General features: G+C 43.7%; 1 protein-coding gene across 1 annotated transcript in view, besides 10 other annotated features; it reads left to right on the top strand.

Moving 5' to 3' along the window:
* Positions 1–21,426, top strand: part of KLHL15 (kelch like family member 15) — a 43,467-nt gene that overhangs the window by 318 nt on the left and 21,723 nt on the right. The window contains exons 2-3 of the mRNA NM_030624.3: positions 1,811–2,012; positions 20,169–20,880. Coding sequence (NP_085127.2) covers positions 20,176–20,880 — 705 coding nt within the window. The 5' untranslated portion in view covers positions 1,811–2,012; positions 20,169–20,175. The remainder of the gene's footprint in view (positions 1–1,810; positions 2,013–20,168; positions 20,881–21,426) is intronic.
* Positions 311–814: an enhancer, noted in NCBI's record as "NANOG-H3K27ac-H3K4me1 hESC enhancer chrX:24044172-24044675 (GRCh37/hg19 assembly coordinates)". NCBI's record gives its function as "activates a minimal SCP1, AML or CMV promoter by ChIP-STARR-seq in primed H9 embryonic stem cells {active_cell/tissue: H9 hESC(primed)}" and the evidence as "EXISTENCE:reporter gene assay evidence [ECO:0000049][PMID:30033119]".
* Positions 815–1,319: an enhancer, noted in NCBI's record as "NANOG-H3K27ac-H3K4me1 hESC enhancer chrX:24043667-24044171 (GRCh37/hg19 assembly coordinates)". NCBI's record gives its function as "activates a minimal SCP1, AML or CMV promoter by ChIP-STARR-seq in primed H9 embryonic stem cells {active_cell/tissue: H9 hESC(primed)}" and the evidence as "EXISTENCE:reporter gene assay evidence [ECO:0000049][PMID:30033119]".
* Positions 815–1,531: a biological region, named in NCBI's record as "NANOG-H3K27ac-H3K4me1 hESC enhancer GRCh37_chrX:24043667-24044171".
* Positions 982–1,081: a silencer, noted in NCBI's record as "silent region_20712". NCBI's record gives its function as "represses an Ori minimal core promoter by ATAC-STARR-seq in GM12878 lymphoblastoid cells {active_cell/tissue: GM12878}" and the evidence as "EXISTENCE:reporter gene assay evidence [ECO:0000049][PMID:35858748]".
* Positions 1,092–1,531: a silencer, noted in NCBI's record as "silent region_20711". NCBI's record gives its function as "represses an Ori minimal core promoter by ATAC-STARR-seq in GM12878 lymphoblastoid cells {active_cell/tissue: GM12878}" and the evidence as "EXISTENCE:reporter gene assay evidence [ECO:0000049][PMID:35858748]".
* Positions 1,612–1,681: a silencer, noted in NCBI's record as "silent region_20710". NCBI's record gives its function as "represses an Ori minimal core promoter by ATAC-STARR-seq in GM12878 lymphoblastoid cells {active_cell/tissue: GM12878}" and the evidence as "EXISTENCE:reporter gene assay evidence [ECO:0000049][PMID:35858748]".
* Positions 1,692–1,841: a silencer, noted in NCBI's record as "silent region_20709". NCBI's record gives its function as "represses an Ori minimal core promoter by ATAC-STARR-seq in GM12878 lymphoblastoid cells {active_cell/tissue: GM12878}" and the evidence as "EXISTENCE:reporter gene assay evidence [ECO:0000049][PMID:35858748]".
* Positions 1,852–1,931: a silencer, noted in NCBI's record as "silent region_20708". NCBI's record gives its function as "represses an Ori minimal core promoter by ATAC-STARR-seq in GM12878 lymphoblastoid cells {active_cell/tissue: GM12878}" and the evidence as "EXISTENCE:reporter gene assay evidence [ECO:0000049][PMID:35858748]".
* Positions 12,062–12,191: an enhancer, noted in NCBI's record as "active region_29495". NCBI's record gives its function as "activates an Ori minimal core promoter by ATAC-STARR-seq in GM12878 lymphoblastoid cells {active_cell/tissue: GM12878}" and the evidence as "EXISTENCE:reporter gene assay evidence [ECO:0000049][PMID:35858748]".
* Positions 20,683–20,977: a silencer, noted in NCBI's record as "tiled region #13558; HepG2 Repressive non-DNase unmatched - State 23:Low, and K562 Repressive DNase matched - State 14:Gen5'". NCBI's record gives its function as "represses a minimal TATA promoter and a strong SV40 promoter by Sharpr-MPRA in HepG2 cells, with weaker repression in K562 cells {active_cell/tissue: HepG2 | K562}" and the evidence as "EXISTENCE:reporter gene assay evidence [ECO:0000049][PMID:27701403]".

The following is a 21,426-nucleotide window of genomic DNA, read 5'->3' as shown; positions in this document are numbered from 1 at the left end:
GATGGAAAGAAAGTGTGAACAACTTGGGAATTTCAGTGTCTTACAGTTTTTTTAAAGCTTGTTATAGTTTAAATCGGAATAAGGAAGCGTATTTCCAAAAGATTGAAGTGATTGTGTTATCTCTCCCACGAAGTAGTCTACTTCAGCAAAACAGTACACCGTGTGCTATTTTGGCCTCTTGGGAAAGATGGTATGTTCAAGTTTGCTAGAAAGAGATAATTATCGCTTTTAGCGACACCTCTCACGGAAAGTTCATCGGGATATTGGTCTAGAGAGAAAATGGCGGCGGGGGGTGGGGGTGGGGGAAGCCGAAATACCTCAGTTTAGGATCTGCTATGGGCAATGGATGCCCTAATTTAAGGTTAATTGTAGATCCACGGGCTTCCAACTGTGTATTTCCGTCATCTACACTTTTCCCAGAAAGAGATGCCATAATAAATTTACAAAACAGTCCTATAGTCTAGTTTTATATTCTTGTCAAGAAAAGGTAATATTTAAAAAGTACTAGCTAGAATTCTATAAAAAACGAACAACAAAAATCACTGCCCTCTGAATGTTCGTTCTTGATTATTTTGACGCAAGTAGAGACAGCTTTTTTAAATCCGGCATTATCTCCGGGTGGTGCAGACATGCAATTTTTTATGAATTTTCCCACCCTTGGGAAATCGATTTCTGAAACGTGTAATTGTTGTGCAGTAAGCCAAGTGGACAGTGACGCAATAGTCCACTGCAAGTTGCCTTACAAAAAATGATGTCATTTGGCGCAGATCTAGTCACTTTTATAACAGGTAGCTATGGAAAAGCTCCCTCCACGTTGTCCCCGATTCCCCCACCCCCACCGTGGCCAAGATGCAAAAAGACACTTTCCTGGCTTCCTAGCCCTCAACTTGTCGAGGGTGGGCGCACCGCAGTGGCTCAGGGCCCATCGCTCGTGCAGGCGGAGAGAGACCGCTGCAAGGGGACGAGGACAGCTGAGTGTCCTCAGCCCCGACGGCGGCGCCGCGGGGGAAGCTGCGTCGGGCCCAGTCCAGGGCCGCGACGCCCGGCCGCCTGTTTTCCTCGGTGGGAAACCGCTGGCGTGGCGGGCCGGCAGCCGGGACGCGGGGCGCCGCGGGCGCGGGACAGCCTTCCCCGCCCCCCCTTCCCCCCCGTTCCCACACCCGCTCCCGCTCCCGTGGCGCCGGAAGTGACGCGTTTTGGGCTGAAAGATGGCGGCATTGGCGCTCGACCAGGGGGAAGGTAAACACCCGCCAGGCCACGGGCTGGCCCCCTCGGGGCGCCAGCAGGGGCCGAGGGGGGGGCCTCCCGGGCCAGCTCCCCGCCCCCAACGGCTTCCCACCCTCCGCCCTCTCTCCCAGCGTGGCGGCCTTCCGCGTCAAGACGACAGCGCACTGGGCCCCCTGCCGGCCAGCCCCGCCTCCCTGGGCGGGCCCCGGGCGGCTCCCGCGGCCCGCAGGGGGCGCGCGGCCCGGAGCGGCCCCCGGCTCGTGGCCCCGCACGCCCCGCCCCTTCCCCGCCCCTTTCCCGCCTTCCTCCACCCCCGGCGTGGGTGATCCCGAGGCTCGGCGCGCTTCGGGGCAGAAGCCCAGAGACGCCGTCCTCGACGCTTCCTCGGCTGGTGCTTCTGTCTCTGCCTGCTGCCCCCCAGCCCTTTTCCCCGCCCGCGGCCCCAGTCGGCCCTCCCGCCGAGCCCCGTCGGGTGCTGCGAGGCCCCCGGCGTTGGCAAGGTCGGTCCGGGCCCCGACGCCGCGCCGCCTCGTGCGGAGCCCGACTGTCTGGTTTCTCGACTCAGCGCTGTCTTCTTTCCCAGGACTTATCCAGAGGGGGCTGCAGGCGAGCACTCTCGTGCCCCGCCGGAGCGACCCGGCTCGTGCCGGGAGCGGCTGCTCGTAGACGTCCGAGGAGCCTGCCGAGTGCCGTCCCGGCGCCCGACCGCCCACCCATCGGCCCGCTGGCCCGGTTCTTCCTGATGCAGACTGCCGTCCACTAGAGGCTGGACAGGACCCCCCGAGGTACGTAGCCGCCCCTGGCCGCCGGCCTGCGGAGCCCGGGCTTCGCCCGCGGCCCCGAGCTAGGCACGAATTCGCCGGCCCTCTCTGCACGGACCCGAGTCAAACATTTGGTAGACGCCGGGACCTCGTTTGTCTTCGAGTTTACTTAAATTGTTTGAAATGTAATTTTTTTTTCCAGAGAGAGCGAGAAAGAAAAAGGAAGAAGCATAATTCAGCCATTTTTTGCAGCACACAGCTGCAGGTACCATGATTATTTTTTGCCTAACCCGTTCCTTCCCTTTAACAATTCAATTTATGCCTGAAATAGAACTATGCAAAATGCGAGGCATAAAACTAGGAATCGGAAGGTCTGGGTTCGACTTGGGTGACTCTGAGAAAAAATCGCGTACCGAGCCTTGGTTTCTTATCTATGAAATATAGTCGGTACTACCAACATCGCAGGGTTGAGAGGACTATATGAGGTCATATATGTGAAAATAATCCTTAACTGTAGAGTGTTGTAAGAATGCAAGGCCGTTTTTTAAGTAACCTTTGGTAGAGTGGTTAATGTAGTGGCTAACTGTTGCTGCCTCTTTATTTCTATATTATAAATATAAGCAAATAAGTACGGAATAATAGTAAAGCAGTGCTGTGAATCCATAGATCTGTAATAGTCACGTTGCTTGGCCTTCCTCCTACGAAGTGCTAACTGCTTATTTAAATAACGGTATTCTTTAATTCAAATGTAACGTTACCGTAGGGGCTTTGCTTTTCATCGTTCTAGGCCGCTTTAGGCCCCTTTTCTTACTCCAAATATTTAACACCTTACATTTGTTAGTCTTTTCTGTTTTCCGAATTTGTTTGCCTTTGTTAATCTGATTAAGTGGTAATTTAGAAAATGCTTTGCAGACATATATGCCCTAATTTTAATGCCTGTTTTTCATATCTAGGGAGCAGGATGCTTGAATACTTCTACTAATTTGAAAATTGGTTTTGAAGAGCTTATCAATGCATTCATGTTTCAGTAATCCTTAATAGATCTAGAAATGTATAGAACATTTCAACTTTTTAGCACTTAATGTAATTATATAATTTTATTCTCATTTTTAATCACAACACGTAGTAGGTGCTTAGAGTCACAGTTTATCAGTGGTAGAGGATGTTAACTTGCACTCTTCATTGCTGATTAATTTGGGGAAAGAATAGGATAGTAAATATTTGTGGTTTGAAAATTGAATTTATTTTGCCAGGATTTATATGTGTAACAGATTAGTATTGATCATTTTTACTTGGCATATCAAAAATATAGTATGGTTTGGCTTAAATGGTCCACAAAAAGTGAAAAGAGAAGCATTTTTGGGTATATTGTTATTTTTAGCTAACAAATGGTTTTGAGTAGTTAGATGTTTTATTAAATTTATAATCCTCTAGTCCAATACCAGTTGTCTTTCAGAGTATGCTTTTGTGTTTTGTAAAAAGGCAAAATAATAGAAGTTGGGCAGGATTTACATAGTAAAAGGAAGAGCCTACTTCAAAGTGGCTGGTTTTATAGATTGGATTTATCACTAATCTTGATAAAATTTTGACAAATCATTGCTTTATTGGGGATTTCAAGGTTTGACCTTCTCTCTACCTCGAGTCGGGTTATCTCAGAAACCTAACCTTGATCAGGGCAGGCTTGGCTTCATGGATGTTCAGAAGGGCCCCACACTTGGTTTAATAATCTGCATGTAAAACTGGGATTGTACAGTATAAGGGTGAATGGTAAAATTCATGCTAATTTAAATTTTTAATTTTCCTTTACTCAGAACGACATTAAACATCAAATTTAAAAAACACTGAGAGCCGGGAGCGGTGGCTCAGGCCTGTAATCCCAGCACTTTGGGAGGCCGAGGCGGGCGGATCACCTGAGGGTCGGGAGTTTGAGACCAGCCTAACCAACGTGGAGAAACCCCGTCTCTACTAAAAACACAAAGTTAGCCTGGCGTGGTGGCGGGCGCCTGTAATCCCAGCTACTCTATTCCCAGCTACTCGGGAGGCTGAGGCGGGAGAATCGCTTGAACCCGGTAGGCAGAAGTTGCGGTAATCCAAGATGGCGGCACTGCACTCCAGCCTGGGCGACGAGAGCAAAACTCCGTCTCAAAAAAAAAAAAAACCGCGAAACAGTTGAGAGATACAGAAGAAAGTTTTGAAAGAGCTTTACATTTTATTACCTTTAACGACTTTTTTTTTTTTTTTAAGACAAGAGTCTTGTTCTGTCGCCCAGGCTGGAGTGGAGTGGTGCGATCCGATCCCCGCTCATTGGAACCTCCACCTCCCGGCCTCAAGCGATTCTTGGGCCTCAGCCTACTAAGTAGCTGGGATTATAGGCGCTCGCCACCACGCCCGGCTAATTTTTGTATTTTTAGTAGAGACGGGGTTTCACCATGTTGGCCAGGCTGGTCTCGAACTCCTGGACTCAAGTGATCTACCCGCCTTGGCTTCCCAAAGCGCAGGCGGGAGCCACCGTGCCCAGCCTTTTTTTTTTTTTTTTTTTATCTTTTGAGACACAGTCTTGCTCTGTCTCCCAGGCCGGAGTGCAGTGGCGCGATCTCGGCTCACTGCAACCTCCGCCTCCCGGGTTCAAGTGATTCTCCTGCCTCAGCCTCCCGAGTAACTGGGATTACAGATGCGCGTCAGCATGCTTGACTAATTTTTGTATTTTTAGTAGACACGGGGTTTCACCATGTTAGCCAGGCTGGTCTCGACTGACTTCAAGTGATCCGCCCGCCTCGGTCTCCCAAAGTGCTGGGATTACAGACATGAGCCACCGCGCCCGGCCATCGCCCAGCCTTTTAACAACATTTTTCCCTGATTTTGAACAAGAGTCCCCGCAAATGATGTAGGTGGCCTGTTGTCAAGCCTGGCCTTTCCCAGTGCAAATGTTTTGAGAGTGAATAATGTTAACTGTGAGGAGAATGAATCTTTAGCTTAGAGGAGGTGGATTACTTTATTAGCATCTATTTTCTCTGAATTGGAGTGCTATAGCTCATGTGGTGCTTTTTTTTTTTTATTGAAGAGAAATGAAAGATGGAGCCATGGGTGAGGCATTGTAGAACAGTGTTTAATAGGGGAGGCTATGAAGTCAGGCAGACCCCAACTTCACAACTTACTAATAATTATAGCCTTGGGCAAGTTACTTAACCTCTGTGAGCTTTGATGTTCTCATCTTTAAGTCGGGGATGGATACAAAACATGGAAGGTTGCGAGAATTAAATTTATCTGTCTTTCCAACAAATATTTATTAAGCACTTATTATGTGCCAAGCACTGTTTTAGGTGCTGGAGATGCAACAGTCAGTGAAGCAAAACCGACAAATTGAAGCAGAAAGGAAACTAAGTAAAATGGATAGCCTGTATTGCCATTTAATATACTGCAGAGAATAATAAAGTGGAGGGGCATGGGGATTGTCAGGTTGATGGGGCAGATGGGGTTTTGCAACTTTAAAAGAGGGTGTTTGAGGAAGGCCTCACTGAAATGACACCAAAGACCCTAAGGGAACCATATATATCTGGGGATAGTGTGATCCAGGCAGAGGGAACAGGGTGTAGAGAGGCCTTAAGTTGGGAGTGTAGCTGGTTTTCAAGGAACAGCGGCACCAAGGGAGATAGTAATATAAGATTATTATTATTGCCATTTTAAGAATCATTGGAAAGGCTCTCATAGTTCATCTCTGCCAAGGGTATATGTTGTATTGCTGCTGGTCCAAAAGTGGAAGACCTTTTCAGAATTTGAAATTTTAACTTTGCAAGTAAGAAATTAGGAAAGACAAAATATGTTGTCAGGTTTTCTGTTTTTAACGTAAGACCCTTAAAGCTCATCAGGCTCAATCACTGAAACATGTAAGAATGGATAGAAAAAAATACCCTTTGTCTCTGATAAGATCTTTGAATTTAGTTAATGATATATATTATAGACTAATGATTTGCAGGAAATCTGTATCATAACAGCAAGACTTTCCAAAATATTTAGTTTGGTTGTATAATTCTTATGAGGAACTGAAAGGCTAACATTACAGTATTTGTGATTTCATGTTAGAATAGAACTTAGAAGATTTGGGGTTTTATTCCCCAATAGAGGCTTTTCCTAGAATTCTCACTGGATCCAATCTCTAAAGGCTAGGGAAGCTGTTTTCCATGACATCACTCTTGGACTACTTCTAGTCATAGTGTGGAATAAGCAGAGAAGCATTAAATTAAAGTCTTCTGATGAAAAATAGCATTCAAGCAGGGTTTTTTTTTTCTTATAAGGCTTCTTGTATTATAGGATGACGAAATGCTAAACATACCTGAAAAGTGAAGTAATTTGGTGCCAGTCTGGAGGCTGGAGGACCCAGGGCCCTCCTAATAGCTTAGTTAAATGGTCATTTGCAATTTGGTCCTGAGTTATAAAAATATTTTGATGACAAGAAAGAATTTCCAGTATTAAACAAATTAAAGTTAACTTACACAACGTCTCCTCCCATATTAAAGTGAGTTTTCAATTTGAGTAGTGTATTGAGAGTAAAGTGACCGCTAATAGAGCTTAAAAGTCTGTCTTTAAATTTGTCTTTTCTTTTATATTGGTATGTTGAGAAGTTGGCTGCTTTGAGATTGTCAAATTTACATTTTTTTACTTTATGGGTTACAGAAGTGAGAAATGTTATGACTCAGAAATTAATTCTGTTTTTATCCGTAGTAAGCCTTTGCATTCTCTTTTCGATATGCAACTGTGGCATTTTCTGCATAGGCATCAATTTTGGTAGGAGAACAGTTTGGGGATGAAGATAGTATGAAATCATTTAAATTTTTCATTGAGGGTAAGTATATTATATCAACCTCTGAGAATCTAGCTTTTGCATTGAATACCTTAAGCTTTTGTATGAATTTTCAAGCAGCTGTGGAAGGAATGTGAAAGCAATAAATTATTGCTTATGGCACAAACATAGAGGTTAATTTTGAAATGTCTTTTAATTGCCTATAATTTTGCCTTCACATCAGAATGGCAGCCTTATAACTGAAAAGGAAGCATTTAATTTCTTTGCCTTTAATTTCCTGTCCAGTTTTACCCCCACCAAACTTCTTTTTTTACTGGTCACTAGAGAGTTTGAAGTGTTCAAAAATTCTGTGATATAAATAGCAGTAATAGTCTTCCAGGGCAGAGGTAGGAAGAGGTTGAGGTTTGTGCGTGCACGTGTGTGTGTGTGTGTGTGTGTTGTCACTTATCTCTTACACTTTCAGTTGTTCTCAAGCCTGTGGTCTCAGGACTTCTTTGTACTTATTTGTACTCTTAAAAATTAGTGGGGGCCGGGCTTGGTGGCTCACACCTGTAATCCCAGCACTTTGAGAGGCCGAGGCGGGTGGATCGCTTGAGGCCAGGAGTTCGAGACCAGCCTGGGCAACATGGTGAAACTCCGTCTCTACTAAAAATAAAAAAATGAGCTGGGCGTGGTGGTGGGCTCCTGTAATCCCAGCTACTCAGGAGGCTGAGGCAGGAGAATCGCTTGAACCCCGGAGCAGAGGTTGCAGAGATCATGCCACTGTACTCCAGCCTGGGTGCAGAGTGAGACTGTCTCAAAAAATAAATAAACAAATAAAAATTAATTCTATTACATGGTAACCTAAATAACATTTTTTTATGAAAAATAACTTTTCTAAAACAGTTAAGAACTTGGTGAAAAGAGTGGCATTGTTTTAAATTTTTGCATATCTCTTTAATATCTGGCTTAATAAAAGCCAATGGGCTTCTCATCAGCTTCTGCATTCAGTCTGTTGCAATATCACATACCATGTGTAAACCTCTAGAAAACAGAATGAAAGTGAAAAAGACAAATAACTATTCTTTATTTATGTATTTATTTTGAGAAGGAGTCTTGCTCTGTCGCCCTGGCTGGAGGTGGCGCAATCTTGGCTCACTGCAACCTCTGCCTCCTGGGTTCAAGCAATTCTCGTGCCTCACCCTCCTGAGTAGCTGGAATCAGACGCACATGCCATCACCCCTGGCTAAGTTTTGTATTTTTTAGTAGAGATAGGGTTTCACCATATTGACCAGGCTGGTTTTGAACTCCTGAGCTCAAGTGATCAGCCCACCTCTACCTCCCAAGGTGCTAGGATCACGGATGTGAGCCACTGTGCCCGGCTGACCAATAACTTTAAAAAAATTATTTGGATAATAATTTTGACATTGGGAAGCCCCTTTAGTGGGGACTGGGATCTTTTAGGACAACTGGATTCACTTGTCCCCAGATCATGCTTTGAGAATCCCTATACTAATCATTCTTAGGCACAAAAATGTGAGGCTTTCTTTTATTTAGTCAGTACCAAGTTTATGAAACAAGACACGTTCTTCAGTATTTCTTTCCTGGTAGTATAAGTATGCCTTGTCATTTGGTCTAATTGGTTTCCCTCTTGAAAAAAAAAAAACCTACTATTTGAAATTCTGAAGGCCATGTATAAAGTGTTGATAAACCTATATATGAAAAGTAAGGATACAGAATTTTTGTACATTGAACATTTTGTCAGTAAATGTTTTTCCTCAAAGCCTCTTAAATTTTTCCTCCAGCACTCATTTAAAGAGTTCTTATTTAAGGTTTTTGTGTTTTACAATGATTCGTTTTTTTCTTTTGGGAGAGTGGGGCTACGCACTTCTTGTTGAGCACGCTACTGCTGCCGCGGCTGTCTCTGCCATTGCAAAGTAGTTCTTATAATAGTTTTCTTCCTTAAATTGATATAATTCTGTACTTAGATTTCTTTTTAGAGACAGGGCCTTGTTCTGTTGCCCAGACTGGAATGCAGTGGCTTCATCGTGGTTCACTGCAGCCTCGACATCCTCACCGCAAGCGATTTTCCTGCCTCAGCCTCCCAAGTAGCTGGGGCCACAGGAGCACGCCACCAAGCTCTGCTATTTAAAAAAATTTTTTTGTAGGGAAGAGGTCTGGCCACATTGCCCAGGCTGGTCTTGAACTGGATCAAGTGATCCTCGTGCCTTGCCTCCCAAAATGTTGGGATTACAGGCATGAGGCCGCTGTAACCAGTTAAAGAATTATGTACACAATTTTTTTTTTTTTTTTTTTTTTTTTTTGGGACATGGTCTCACTCTGTTGCCCAGGCTGAAGTTCAGTGGTGGATTATAGCTCATTGCAGCCTCGGCCTCCCGGGCTCAGTTTATCCTCTGACCTCAGCCTCCTGAGTAGCTGGGACTACAGTCACACACCACCACGTCTGACTAATTTTTATGTTTTTAGTAGAGATGGGGTTTTGCCACGTTGCCCATGCTGGCCTCGAACTCCCGAGCTCAAGCGATATGCCCATCTCGGCCTCCCAAAGTGGTGGGATTATAGACGTGAGCCACTGCGCCTGACTCTGATCTGTTATAAATCTGCATTATGATAAACCCTAGGGAGGCATGGGGTTGGTAGAGAGGGGAGACTGAGGGTTCTCACTTAGGTTAATTCATTTATTCACCACCCTAACTTGATAATAAGATGATGATGATTATTAGTAATGTATGGATGGAAACCAAGATAGGAAGTTAACAAAATTTCTGTAGGTCACACAGTAAGCACTCTGATTTCAGAGGTTTTGCTCTTTCCGACCACACTATTTTGTATTTTTTGCAAATAGAATCTAATTTTTTTTTTTTTTTTTTTGAGACAGGCTCTTAGTTTGTTGCCCAGGCTGGAGTACAATGGCGCCATCTCAGCTCACTGCAACCTCTGCCTCCTGGGCTCAAGCAATCTTCCTGCCTCAGTCTCCCAAGTAGCTGAGACTACAGGCACACACTACCACGCCCAGCTAATTTTTGTAGAGACGGGGTTTTGATATGTTGCGCAGGCTAGAATCTAGTCTTAACTTTATTTCTAGCTACTAGTTCTATGACCTTGAATAAAAAGTCAGTTCACCCGTGGACATTATTACTGTCTTCATCTGTGGAGTTAGAGTTGACCTGGGTCCTGAGTCTTGAGAAACTATACTCAGAAGGTGGGCTGGGGGGTTTCTTCAAAGTTAACTAGATCAGGCTTACTATTTTGGCTGTAGTAGTACCACACGAAGGGGCATGATAATAAGCCTTAATGTTACAGTGTACTTAAGGTCCATGCACTGTACTAAGTGCTTTACATCCATTAACTTACTTTATTATCGCAGCAACCTGTAAGGTAGGTTCTATTAATATTAGTACCCCAATTTTTTTTTTGAGACATGATCTCACTCTTTTGCCCAGGCTGGAGTGCAGTGGTGCCATCTCTGCTCACTGCAATCTCCGCCTCCTGGGTTCAAGCGATTCTCCCACCTCAACCTCCCGACTAGCTGGGATTACAGGCGTGAGCCACAACACCTAGCCAATTTTTTTTTTATTTGTAGTAGAGATGGGGTTTTGCCATGTTGGCCAGCTGGTCTCGAACTCCTGACCTCAAGTGATCCACTTGCCTCGGCCTCCCAATATGCTGGGATTACAGGCATGAGCCACTGCACCTGGCCAAGTATACCCCCCCTTTTTTTTTTTTTTTTTTTTTTTTTTTTTGAGACAGAGTCTTGCTCTGTCGCCCAGGCTGGAGTGCAGTGGCACCATCTCGGCTCACTGCAAGCTCTGCCTTCCAGGTTCACGCCATTCTCCTGCCTCAGCCTCCCAAGTAGCTGGGACTACAGGCTCCTGCCACCATGCCCAGCTAATTTTTTAGTAGAGACGGGGTTTCACCATGTTAGCCAGGATGGTCTCGATCTCCTGACCTCATGATCTGCCCGCCTTGGCCTCCCAAAGTGCTGAGATTACAAGCGTGAGTCACCGTGCCTGGCCTGAAGTACCCCAATTTAAAAGTTTTAGATTTTACACTTTTTAAATTAATTAACTAATTAATTAATTTGAGATGGAGTTTCACTCTTGTTGCCCAGGCTGGAGTGCAGCGGCCCGATCTCGGCTTACTGCAACCTCCGCCTCCCAGGTTCAAGCGATTCTCCTGCCTCAGCCTCCCAAGTAGCTGGGATTACAGGTGCCAGCTACCATGCCCGGCTAATTTTTGTATTTGTAGTAGAGACGGGGTTCCACCACATTGGCCAGGCTGGTCTGGAACTCCTGACCTCAGGTGATCTGCCCACCTCGGCCTCCCAGACTGTTGGGATTATGGGCGTGAGCCACCGTGTCCGGTCCAGATTTTACATTTTAGAGCACAGAGAGGCTGAGTAGCTTGCCCCAATATCACAGAGCTAATAAGAGGTAGAACCACGCTTCAAACCCAGGCATCTGACGCCAGACCTATACCCTTACTTACTACTACCATCTAGAGACTCTATCATGTTGGTCACTTAATCACTGAGTGTTTCACTGTTTTCTACTTAATACACGCTTACCATAAAAGTGTAAAGTACTGCTGCTCCTCTAAAGTTGTAGTCTTATTGATAAATGCACTAAGCTTTTTAGGTAGAAAATAAGTTACTGCATATGTCTCGGCTATCGCAGATGAGTTTTAAAAGTGTTTAGATCAGGTAAACTTCACAAATGCGTTGCTGAGACTTTAAAAGTAGCTATAGTTTATTTAACTGGCATGTGTATTTAGTGTGTTGCATATTTACAAAATCATATAAAAAGAATGAGAATTTTAGGACTAAAAATATTTTAGAGATCATGTCTAGTGCTCTTGTTTTTACAGATGCAGAGAGAAGGCCAAGAAAATTTGAGTAACTTACAGATATTTCTGTTCTAAAATTATTAGTTAGGACCCTTGGTTATAAGTAGGAAAAATCAACCTAAGGTAGTAAAGAGGAAGAATTTATTCTAAGAATGTAAGGTTCTCTCAGAACCCAAGGGCAGACATCGAACTGGGCTTAGCAACTGGGAGAACGAGGCGTTCAGGAGCACTGCCTGTCCTCCTTTTGGCTTTATTCTTTCTCAGTTGACTGCCTTTCTCTGATCTTCAGCCCACATGGCAGACAGAAGTGGGTGCCCACAGTTGCTCTTTGACATGTTCCAGTTCCCGTCATACACAGTCAATACACGTCTCTCTCTTTTTATCTTTGTTTCTCTTTCCCTCGCCTTTGCTAAGTTTCTGTTCATCTTGATTCATATTTCCCACTCCTGTATGACCACGAGTGACTGTGGCCAGGATCACAGAGTGGGAGGCTGCCTGCTAGGAATCCCTCTCAGCAGGCTGGGTGCCCAGAGGAGAGTGCTGTGTACTCAGACAGGAGCTGTCTTTACATATGTCTTTGGGGTCTTCTGACTCACAGTTTACCAATTCTCCTCCTCCTCCTCCTCTTTTTTCCCCCACTGCTTCTCTGCCTTATAATATTTCCATCATAGTAAGTATCTGGAACCTTAATTGTTGTGTTTTTTTTTGTTTTTTTGTTTTTTTGAGAAAGCATAGTTTCTCCTTTTATAAATTTCCTTTAGATGGAGTATTTTTCAGAAACGTGAATATTAGCTGTTTTAGACCTTTTCAGGTAATGATTAACTGTTGAATAGAGAGGGTGACTTTGACATGAAGTGAAGTGTGGTATTTTTAGGCATTGTCAAAATAACAGATTAATGAAACACAAAGCAGTTTACTCTCAAGTATATGAACACTAATTTCCAGCCTTCTATTATTAAATCTTCATTAAATGTGACCAATAAATCTTTTCTTTCAGAGTTGGGGTCTTGTTCTACTGCCCAGGCTGGAGAGCAGTGGCATGATCATGGCTTACTGTAGCCTGAAATTCCTGCCTCAGCCTCCTGAGTAGCTGAGACTGTAGGTGCATGCTACCATGCCCAGCTGATTTTTTTTTTTTTTTTAATTTTGTTAGAGATGGGGTCTATGTTTCTCAGGCTGGTCTTTCAAGTGCTCCTTCTGCCTCAGCCTCCTGAGTTGCTTGGATTACAGGCACAAGCCACTGCTCCCTGCAGACCAATACAGCTTGACAAGGCAGAATGATCGTTGGTGACCATAATGATCCTGAAAAAAAATATATAGTATCAAAATTTTCATCCAGTTTAATTTGTTGTTTTTAATTCTAATTGTTTTTTTCTATTATTACTACTTTTTTTTAGAGATGGGGACTCGCTATGTTGCTTAGGCTTGTCTCAAACTCCTGGGCTCAAGCAATCCTCCCGCCTTGGCCTCCCAAAGTGTGGGATTACAGGTGTGAGCCCCACACCCAGCCCTATTCTAAATATTTTGAAAACTGATAATTAGTGTGATGTTGATAGCCTTCTTAGAATGGTTATTCAAACACTACACTGTACGAGATTCCTTTTGTTCCCAGTATGCATTTGTGTATGTAGGAAAATTCTAAGCTCATTAATTTTACCTTTAAAAATAATTCAAGCCTGGGTGTGGTGGCTTACGCCTGTAATCCCAGCACTTTGGGAGGCCGAGGCAGGCAGATCTCTCGAGGTCAGGAGTTCAAGACCAGCTGGCCAACATGACGAAACTCCTTCTCTACTAAAAATAAAAAAAAATTAGCCGAGTCTGGTGGCGTGTATCTCTAATCCCAGCTACTTGGCAGGCTGAGGTAGGAGAATCACTTGAACCCAGAAGGTGGAGGTTGCAGTGAGTGGAGATCGCACCACTGCATTCCAGCCTGGGCAACAGAGTGAGACTCTGTCTCAAAAAAAAAAATTTTTTTTTAAGCTGGGTGCAGTGGTGTGCCTACTCAGGAGATTGAGGTAGGAGGATTGCTTGAGCCCAGCAGTTCAAGACTGTTGTGTACTATGATCATGCCTATGAATAGCTACTGCACTCCAGCCTGGGGAACATAGCAAGACCCTGTCTCTAAAAACTAAACCAATAATTCAGATGAACAAGACCAAACTTGTAGCTTACTTTTATCTTAAATGTATTAGTAAAGTTGTTTTGCCAAGCATTGATTAGTTTCCAGAATATATTTTTTTTCCAAATTATAGATAGACCTCTTGTGTTCTCCCTTTCCAAATGAAATGATATAGCTTTCGATTAATGGAGTACTAATAAAAATTTGTTATTAATTTCATCTTTTACATACTTTGCTGTCTTAGATAAGTGAACCTTTAATGTGGTAGAATCAATAGGACTTAAAGGTAGGTTAGGGGACAGAAGGGAAGAAAGAGGCACCTCAGATGCCTCTTGAGAAGATAGAGAATGCTGAAAAAGCTGATGTGGGGGCAGAACTGGTTGTTTAGACATGTTGATTTTGAGATGTCAAAATGGGATCATACCAAAATGGAGCACCCAGAATTGTCTCCTAGGCAGTTGATTACACATATATATGGACTGGAGTAAGGATGGAGATCTTGACAGAGATTATCCAGGTATTGGTGAAAGTACATATAAGTAGAAACCATGGATTAGGTGAGCTCATTTAGGGAGACAACAGTGTTTAGATGAGAAAAGAGGCAAGAACAGAATCCTAGGGAATACCGATGTTGAAAGGGTAGCTCAAGAAAAGTGAGCCCATGAAGGAGATTGAGAAATGAGCAGCCCAGGACTAGGAAGAGAATCAGGAGCACAGTGTCATAGAGCTGAGAGTGTGATGAGCTGAGCATAATTTATGCTACAGAAGGATCCAGGGAAATGGGGACTAGGATGTAACCTCTGAATTGGACCAATTAGGGCCTTTTAAAGAGATTTTTATAAACTTTTTTAAAAGCAGTAATACACTTTCATTGGAAATAGATTAGAAAACACAGATTAGCAAATAGGAAGGGATAAAAGTAAAACTACCTGATACTCTACCATTTTTTATTTTTTATTTTTTTGAGACAGGGTCTTCCTCTGTCATCCAGGCTGGAGTGCAGTGGCACGATCTCAGCTCACTGCAACCTCCACCTCCCAGGTTCAAGCAGTTCCCTGCTTCAGCCTCCCCCGACCTGAGTAGCTGGGATTACAGGTACCCGCCATCACACCCAGCTAATTTTTGTATTTTTAGTAGAGACAAGGTTTTGCCATGTTGGCCAGGCTGGTCTTGAACTCTGACCTCAAGCAATCCGCCTACCTTGGTCTCCCAAAATGCTGGGATTACAGGCGTGAGCCACCGCACCTGGCCTACTCTACCGTTTTTAATGTTTTTGGCATTCTATCCTTTTAGACTTTTTCTTTTTTTCTTTTTTTGAGACAGGGTCTCACTGTGTCATCCAGGCTGGAATGCAGTGGCATAATCATGGCTCACTGCAGCCTCAACTTCCTGGGCTCAGGTGATTCTCTCACCTCAGCCTCCCGAGTAGCCAGGACTACAGATGTGAGCCACCATGCCCAGCTGATTTTTTTTTTGAGACAGAGTCTTGCCCTGTTGCCCAGGCTGGAGTGCAGTGGCACAATCTTGGCTCACTGCAACCTCCAGCTCCCAGGTTCAAGCAATTCTCGTGCCTCAGCCTCCCAAGTAGTTAGGGTTACAGGCATGCGCCACCATGCTTGGCTAATTTTTGTATTTTTGGTAGAGATGGGGTTTCACCATGTTGGCCACGCTGGCCTGGAACTCCTGACTTCGTGATCCGCCTACCTTGGTGTCCCAAAGTGCTGGGAGGCTCACAGGCGTGAGCCACGGCGCCTGGCCCTTTTTTTTTTTTTTTTTTAAGAGACAGTGTCTCACTATGTTGCCGAGGCTGGTCCCAAGCTTCTGGCCTCAAGCAGTCCTCCTACCTCAGCCTCCCGAAGTGCTGGGATTATAGGCATGAGCCACCATGCCTGCCTTTTCTTATTTATTAACAAGGGTTTTTCTTTTTTCTTTTTTCTTTTTTTTTTTTTTTGAGATGACTTTGGGCTGGGATAACTATTGAATAAATGGGTTAATCTGTCAGGAAGTTGAATAAAGGGTATCATGGACAACATATTGATGAAACAAAGTAGTAAATCTAGTGATAGTTTATTCATGAGAGTGGAGAAGTGGCGTCTTTTTAGTGTGTACATAGATGCCACCTTTTCCTTCTTGGCAACTGAGGGCTCAGCCAAACCCAGAGTACAGAGGGATTCCCAAATGGCACTCATCTCCATACCTAACACAGTACCTGGCACACACAAGGGCTCTTCCTTTTAGTAAATGAAATGGGAAGGCATTGACAGAGTGGTGACACTGGCAGTGACAGCCTCCCTAAAGAAGGAGGTGTAGAGCAAGTGACAGCAGTTGACTGTAGTGTCCGCTGCTTCTCTGGAGGGCTCGGGGTCCATATAAATACCTAACCAGGGGAAGGACAGAACTTGGGAGATTGGGTCCCAGCAGTGTCACTGGTGGAAATTCAGAGCCGTAGATGTTGGCTGCCACATCCTTAGTGCTCTTTTAGGCTAGTGTGGTTTGTAGGTCATGTTCTAGAAAATAGCTGCAACATATGATTCCAAGTCATGAGATATTCTAGAAAGTGCTTAAAAATGGCTGTAGTATCCCAGAGATTTGTCCATATCTGCTGTCCTTAGTTTGGGAACATCTTTGATAGTGCTTCAGTGTTATACCAGCAGGGAATGCCTCACAACTGTTCGGTGGACGAAACTGCCAAGAGGCACTGAAGATTGGCCCAAGATTAAAGGACCAGTTGGCATAGTTTTTGTTTAGCAGGGCAGGGATGGAGGACAGGCAGAGAGTTAAGGGAAATGAAGGCCCTGGTAAGAAAGTGGTTGCTCTGATATGGTAAGGTCTAAGCTGGAGAAGGACAGAGGTTAAGTTAGGAGATGATAGACCAAGTGAAAAGAGAGTAGGAAGGTTAAGTAGGAAGTTGACAGTTAAGATTTCAGATGTAGACCAGTTTTGGATCAGGAACAGGTCCAAGTGGGGTGGGAGTAGGGTTTGCAATGGAATAAGTGGGGAGGTTGTAGGAGTTGAGATGGTCAGGGAGTTTTGACTTACAGTTTTTGGATGGCTGATCTTATGTGAACATTGAAGAGGTGTGAAAGATGACTTAGCCAGGTGTTGAAGTCTTTTTTTTTTTTTTTTTTTGAGATGGAGTCTTGCTCTGTTGCCCAGGCTGGAGTGCAGTGGTGCGATCTTGGCTCACTGCAGCCTCCGTCTCCCAGGTTCCAGCGATTCTCCTGCCTCAGCCTCCCAAGTAGCTGGGATTACATGTGCCAGCCACCACACCCAGCTAATTTTGGTATTTTTAGTAGAGAGGAGGTTTCTCCATGTTGGCCAGGCTGGTCTTGAACTCCTGACCTCAGGTGATACACCCTCCTCAGCCTCCCAAAGTGTTGGAATTACGGGCGTGAGCCACTGAGCCCGGCTTTTTTTTTTTTTTTTTTTTTTGAAAATGGAACCTCGCTCTGTCGCCCAGGCTGGAGTGCAGTGGTGCAGTCTTGGCTCACTGTGACCTCCACCTGCTGGGTTCAGGAGATTTCTCCTGTCTCAGCCTCCGGAGTAGCTAGGACTACAGGCGCCCGCTACCATGTGCGGCTAATTTTTGTATTTGTTTTGTATTTTATTTTATTTATTTTGAGACGGAGTTTCACTCTTGTCGCCCAGGCTGGAGTGCAGTGGTGCAATCTCAGCTCACTGCAACCTCCGCCTCCCGGGTTCAAGTGATTCTCCTGCCTCAGCCTCCCGAGTAGCTGGGATTACAGATGCCCGCCACCATGCCTGGTTAATTTTTATATTTTTAGTAGAGATGGGGTTTCACCATGTTGGCCAGGCTGGTCTCAAACTCCTGACCTTCAGGTGATCCACCCATCTCGGCCTCCCAAAGTGTTGGGATTACAGGCATGAGCCACCACGCCCGGCCTTTAATTTTTGTATTTTTAGTAGAGACAGGGTTTTACCATGTTGCCCAGGCTGGTCTTGAACTCCTGATCTCAAGTGATCCGCCTGCCTCAGCCTCCCAAAGTGCTGGGATTACAGGTGTGAGCCACCATGCCTGGCCCAGGTGTTGAAGTCTTCATCAAATGTTTGAGAGTGATTGATCAGAAGATGTGTATGGAAGTGACAAGGGGTGACAGAAGATGGATTTTTATCTGAGCAAAAGGCCAAGTTATAGAAAAAGAACAATAGAAAGCTAAGAGAAAGAAGACTTGGAAAGTAGGGCTGTAAGCTCTAAAAGTTTTTTTTTTGTTTTGTTTTTTTTTTTTCTAACACGCGTGGGAGTAGAGCTAGAGGTTGGAGGCAGGAGGCCTGGAAGCTGTGACTTTTAGGAAAACTATGTCTCATTTAAATCAGGTCGAGGAGGGAACTTTCTGTGACCAACCTGAGCATGTAGGGGATTTTGTTTACATTGAAGTAAGGTTCCACAGGGCACAGTGGAAAGGTTTGGGAGAGAATTCAGGGATGGAGGATGGGTCATTGGGGAGGAAGCCGGGAGCTGTGTAAGGATGAGAATTAAGAAGATAGATGGTCTGGGGTGGGGGTATGTGAAAAGGAGAAAATTAATTTGCTTCATAAATAACCCAGTAGACTGAATTAGTGGCCAGGCGCAGTGGCTCACGCCTGTAACCCCACCACTTTGGAAGGCCGAGTCAGACGGATCATCTGAGGTCAGGAGTTTTAGACCAGCCTAGCCAACATGGCGAAACCTGTCTTCACTAAAAATACAAAAATTAGCTGGGCGTGTAGCAGGTGCCTGTAGTCCCAGCTACTCGGGAGGCTGAGGCACAAGAATCGCTTGAACCCGGGAGGCGGAGGTTGTAGTGAGCCGAGATTGTGCCACTGCACTCCAGCCTGGATGACAGAGCAAGACTCCGAAAACAAAAAAATAGACTGAATTAGTTTATTCCGCTGTATTTAAGATATCTAATTATAGTTCTCTATTTTACCTTCATTTCTCTGATATGGAAAGATTTGGTTTAATTTCCTTTAAAATTATATATTTGTATTTTTAAATATATAAGCATTACATCATTATTGTTTTTCAAAGTAAGGGTAATGAGGTAAATGAAAAGAAAGCCTCTCCTGAAAACCTACTACCCAGGGACATTATTTTGGTATATATTTCTCCAGACTTTTTCTCATCTAACAAATATATGCGTATTTAGTTTTCGAAGACGTACTCAGTATACTGCAGTCACTTGTTTTTTTTTTCATACAATATCTGATAAATATTCTTTGTAAAAATAAACTGTTGACATCATTTTAAATTGATAATTTATTGTAGGACTGTATCATGTTTTAATAATTTGTTATTGGACTTTTGAATAGTTTCTGATTTTTAAATAATAAGCCTAGATAGAAAAACCTTATATGTACAACTTGCCTATTTATTTGAATATTTCCTTTAGGTAAATTTCTAGGAGTTTTCAGGTATACTTTTTAGTTTCATTTTTGTCCCTTTTCTCATTATTTAGTATTTGGCTGTGAAATCATTTTTATGTTGCTAATTTTGGAACCTGTTCAAAGTATATTTGATGAACAATATGAAATCAATGGAATAGGCATATATTATTTGTAAGATAACAATTTACCATTGTTTGATATATATATATATATATATATATATATTTTTTTTTTTTTTTTTTGGAAATGGGGTCTTGCTGTCTCCCAGGCTGGCATGTAGTGGCATGATCTTGGCTCACTGCAACCTCCGTCTCCCGAGTTCAAGCGATTCTCCTGTCTTGGCCTCCTGAGTAGCTGGGACTATAGGTGCATGCCACCACACCTGGCTACTTTTTGTATTTTTAGTAGAGTTGGAGTTTCATCGTATTGATCAGGCTGGTCTTGAACTCCTGACCTCAGGTGATCCACCCACTTCGGCCTCCCAAAGTGCTGGGATTACAGGTGTGAGCCACCGCGCCCAGCCGACATATATATTTTTAAGAGATAGGGTCGTGCTCTGTTGCCCAGGCTGGAGTGCAGTGGTGCTATCATAGCTCACTGTAGCCTCAAACTCGTGGGCTGAAGGGAATCTCCCACCTCAGCCTCTGAAGAAGCTGGGGCTGCTGGCAATGTGCCACCATGCCCAGCTACTTTTTTTTTTATTGTTATTATTTTGTAGAGACAGGGATTTGCCATCTTGCCTAGGCTGGTCTCCAACTCCTGGGCTCAAGCGATCTTCCTGCCTTGGCCTCCCAAAGTGCTGGGGTTATAGGCATGAACTATTGATGTATCTTTAATAGATTCTTTTCCTTAGATAGGGAAGCCAGAAATATTAGTCTGCAAACCTTTAGATTGTCTTCTCCCAAAGGACTTGTACATTTTGGACTTAGTCAGTAGAATTGAGATAATAGCAAAAATTGTTAAAACTCTAAGTTAATATTTTCTTCTGAATGCATGGAAGTGTTTAACATTGTTGTCTTTGATTTTTTTCCAGGTGATTCATGGCAGGGGACGTGGAAGGATTCTGTTCCTCCATCCACGACACCAGTGTCTCTGCTGGGTTCAGAGCACTGTATGAGGAGGGATTGCTTCTTGATGTCACTCTGGTTATTGAAGATCATCAGTTCCAGGCCCATAAAGCACTCTTGGCCACCCAGAGTGATTACTTCAGAATTATGTTTACTGCAGACATGAGGGAACGAGATCAGGACAAAATTCATTTAAAAGGTCTAACAGCTACCGGTTTCAGCCATGTCCTGCAATTTATGTACTATGGAACTATAGAGCTGAGTATGAATACCGTTCATGAGATTCTTCAGGCTGCCATGTATGTTCAACTTATAGAAGTGGTGAAGTTCTGCTGCTCTTTTCTCTTAGCGAAGATCTGCCTAGAAAATTGTGCAGAAATTATGAGACTCTTAGATGATTTCGGCGTAAACATCGAGGGAGTCAGGGAGAAGTTAGACACCTTTCTGCTAGACAACTTTGTGCCACTCATGTCTAGGCCTGACTTTCTGTCCTATCTGAGCTTTGAGAAGCTCATGTCTTACTTGGATAATGATCATCTGAGCAGGTTCCCAGAGATAGAGCTGTACGAGGCTGTGCAGTCTTGGCTGCGGCATGATAGAAGACGCTGGAGACATACCGATACCATCATTCAGAATATCCGGTTTTGCTTGATGACCCCAACCAGCGTTTTTGAGAAGGTTAGTGCATTTGAAAGCAATAGACAGTACTCATCATTTAGTTAAGGCAGTGTATGTCTTTATAGATAAGATTCACAGACTTAAGAGCCAAGAATGAATAACTTCATTTTGTTATTTCTTATGTTATTCAAGAATGAATAACATAAGAGTACTTTATGTATAAGAAGCCTGATTTGTTGTGCATTTAGGTTTTGTAAAATACATTTTGTGGGTGAAAGATAAACCACGTAGGTAGTAAAACAGTTTTATTTTAAAAGTACTTTTAAAGTTGAAGCATAATTACTTTATGCAAAATATTACATGTTTGCTGTAGCTTTTCTTTTCATTTCATCAATTAAATCGGAACCGAGTCAGGCTAGATCTCTTTTTAAAAATAAATTTAAGTAATACATGCAGAAATTGGCATTGAGAAGAGTTCTGCATGGTATACATTAATAGAGTTTCTTATTCCTCTAAAATATAGCAAGGACGTACAAAATAGCTCTTGAAAACCAATAGGCCCTAATGGTGATTTTCTTCCCTGCTCTTACCTTCTGGTTTTCCCCG

This window comes from Homo sapiens, chromosome X (genome assembly GCF_000001405.40).
Source record: "Homo sapiens chromosome X, GRCh38.p14 Primary Assembly".
NCBI lineage: Eukaryota > Metazoa > Chordata > Mammalia > Primates > Hominidae > Homo > Homo sapiens.
This window is presented reverse-complemented; position numbering and strand designations above follow the sequence as displayed.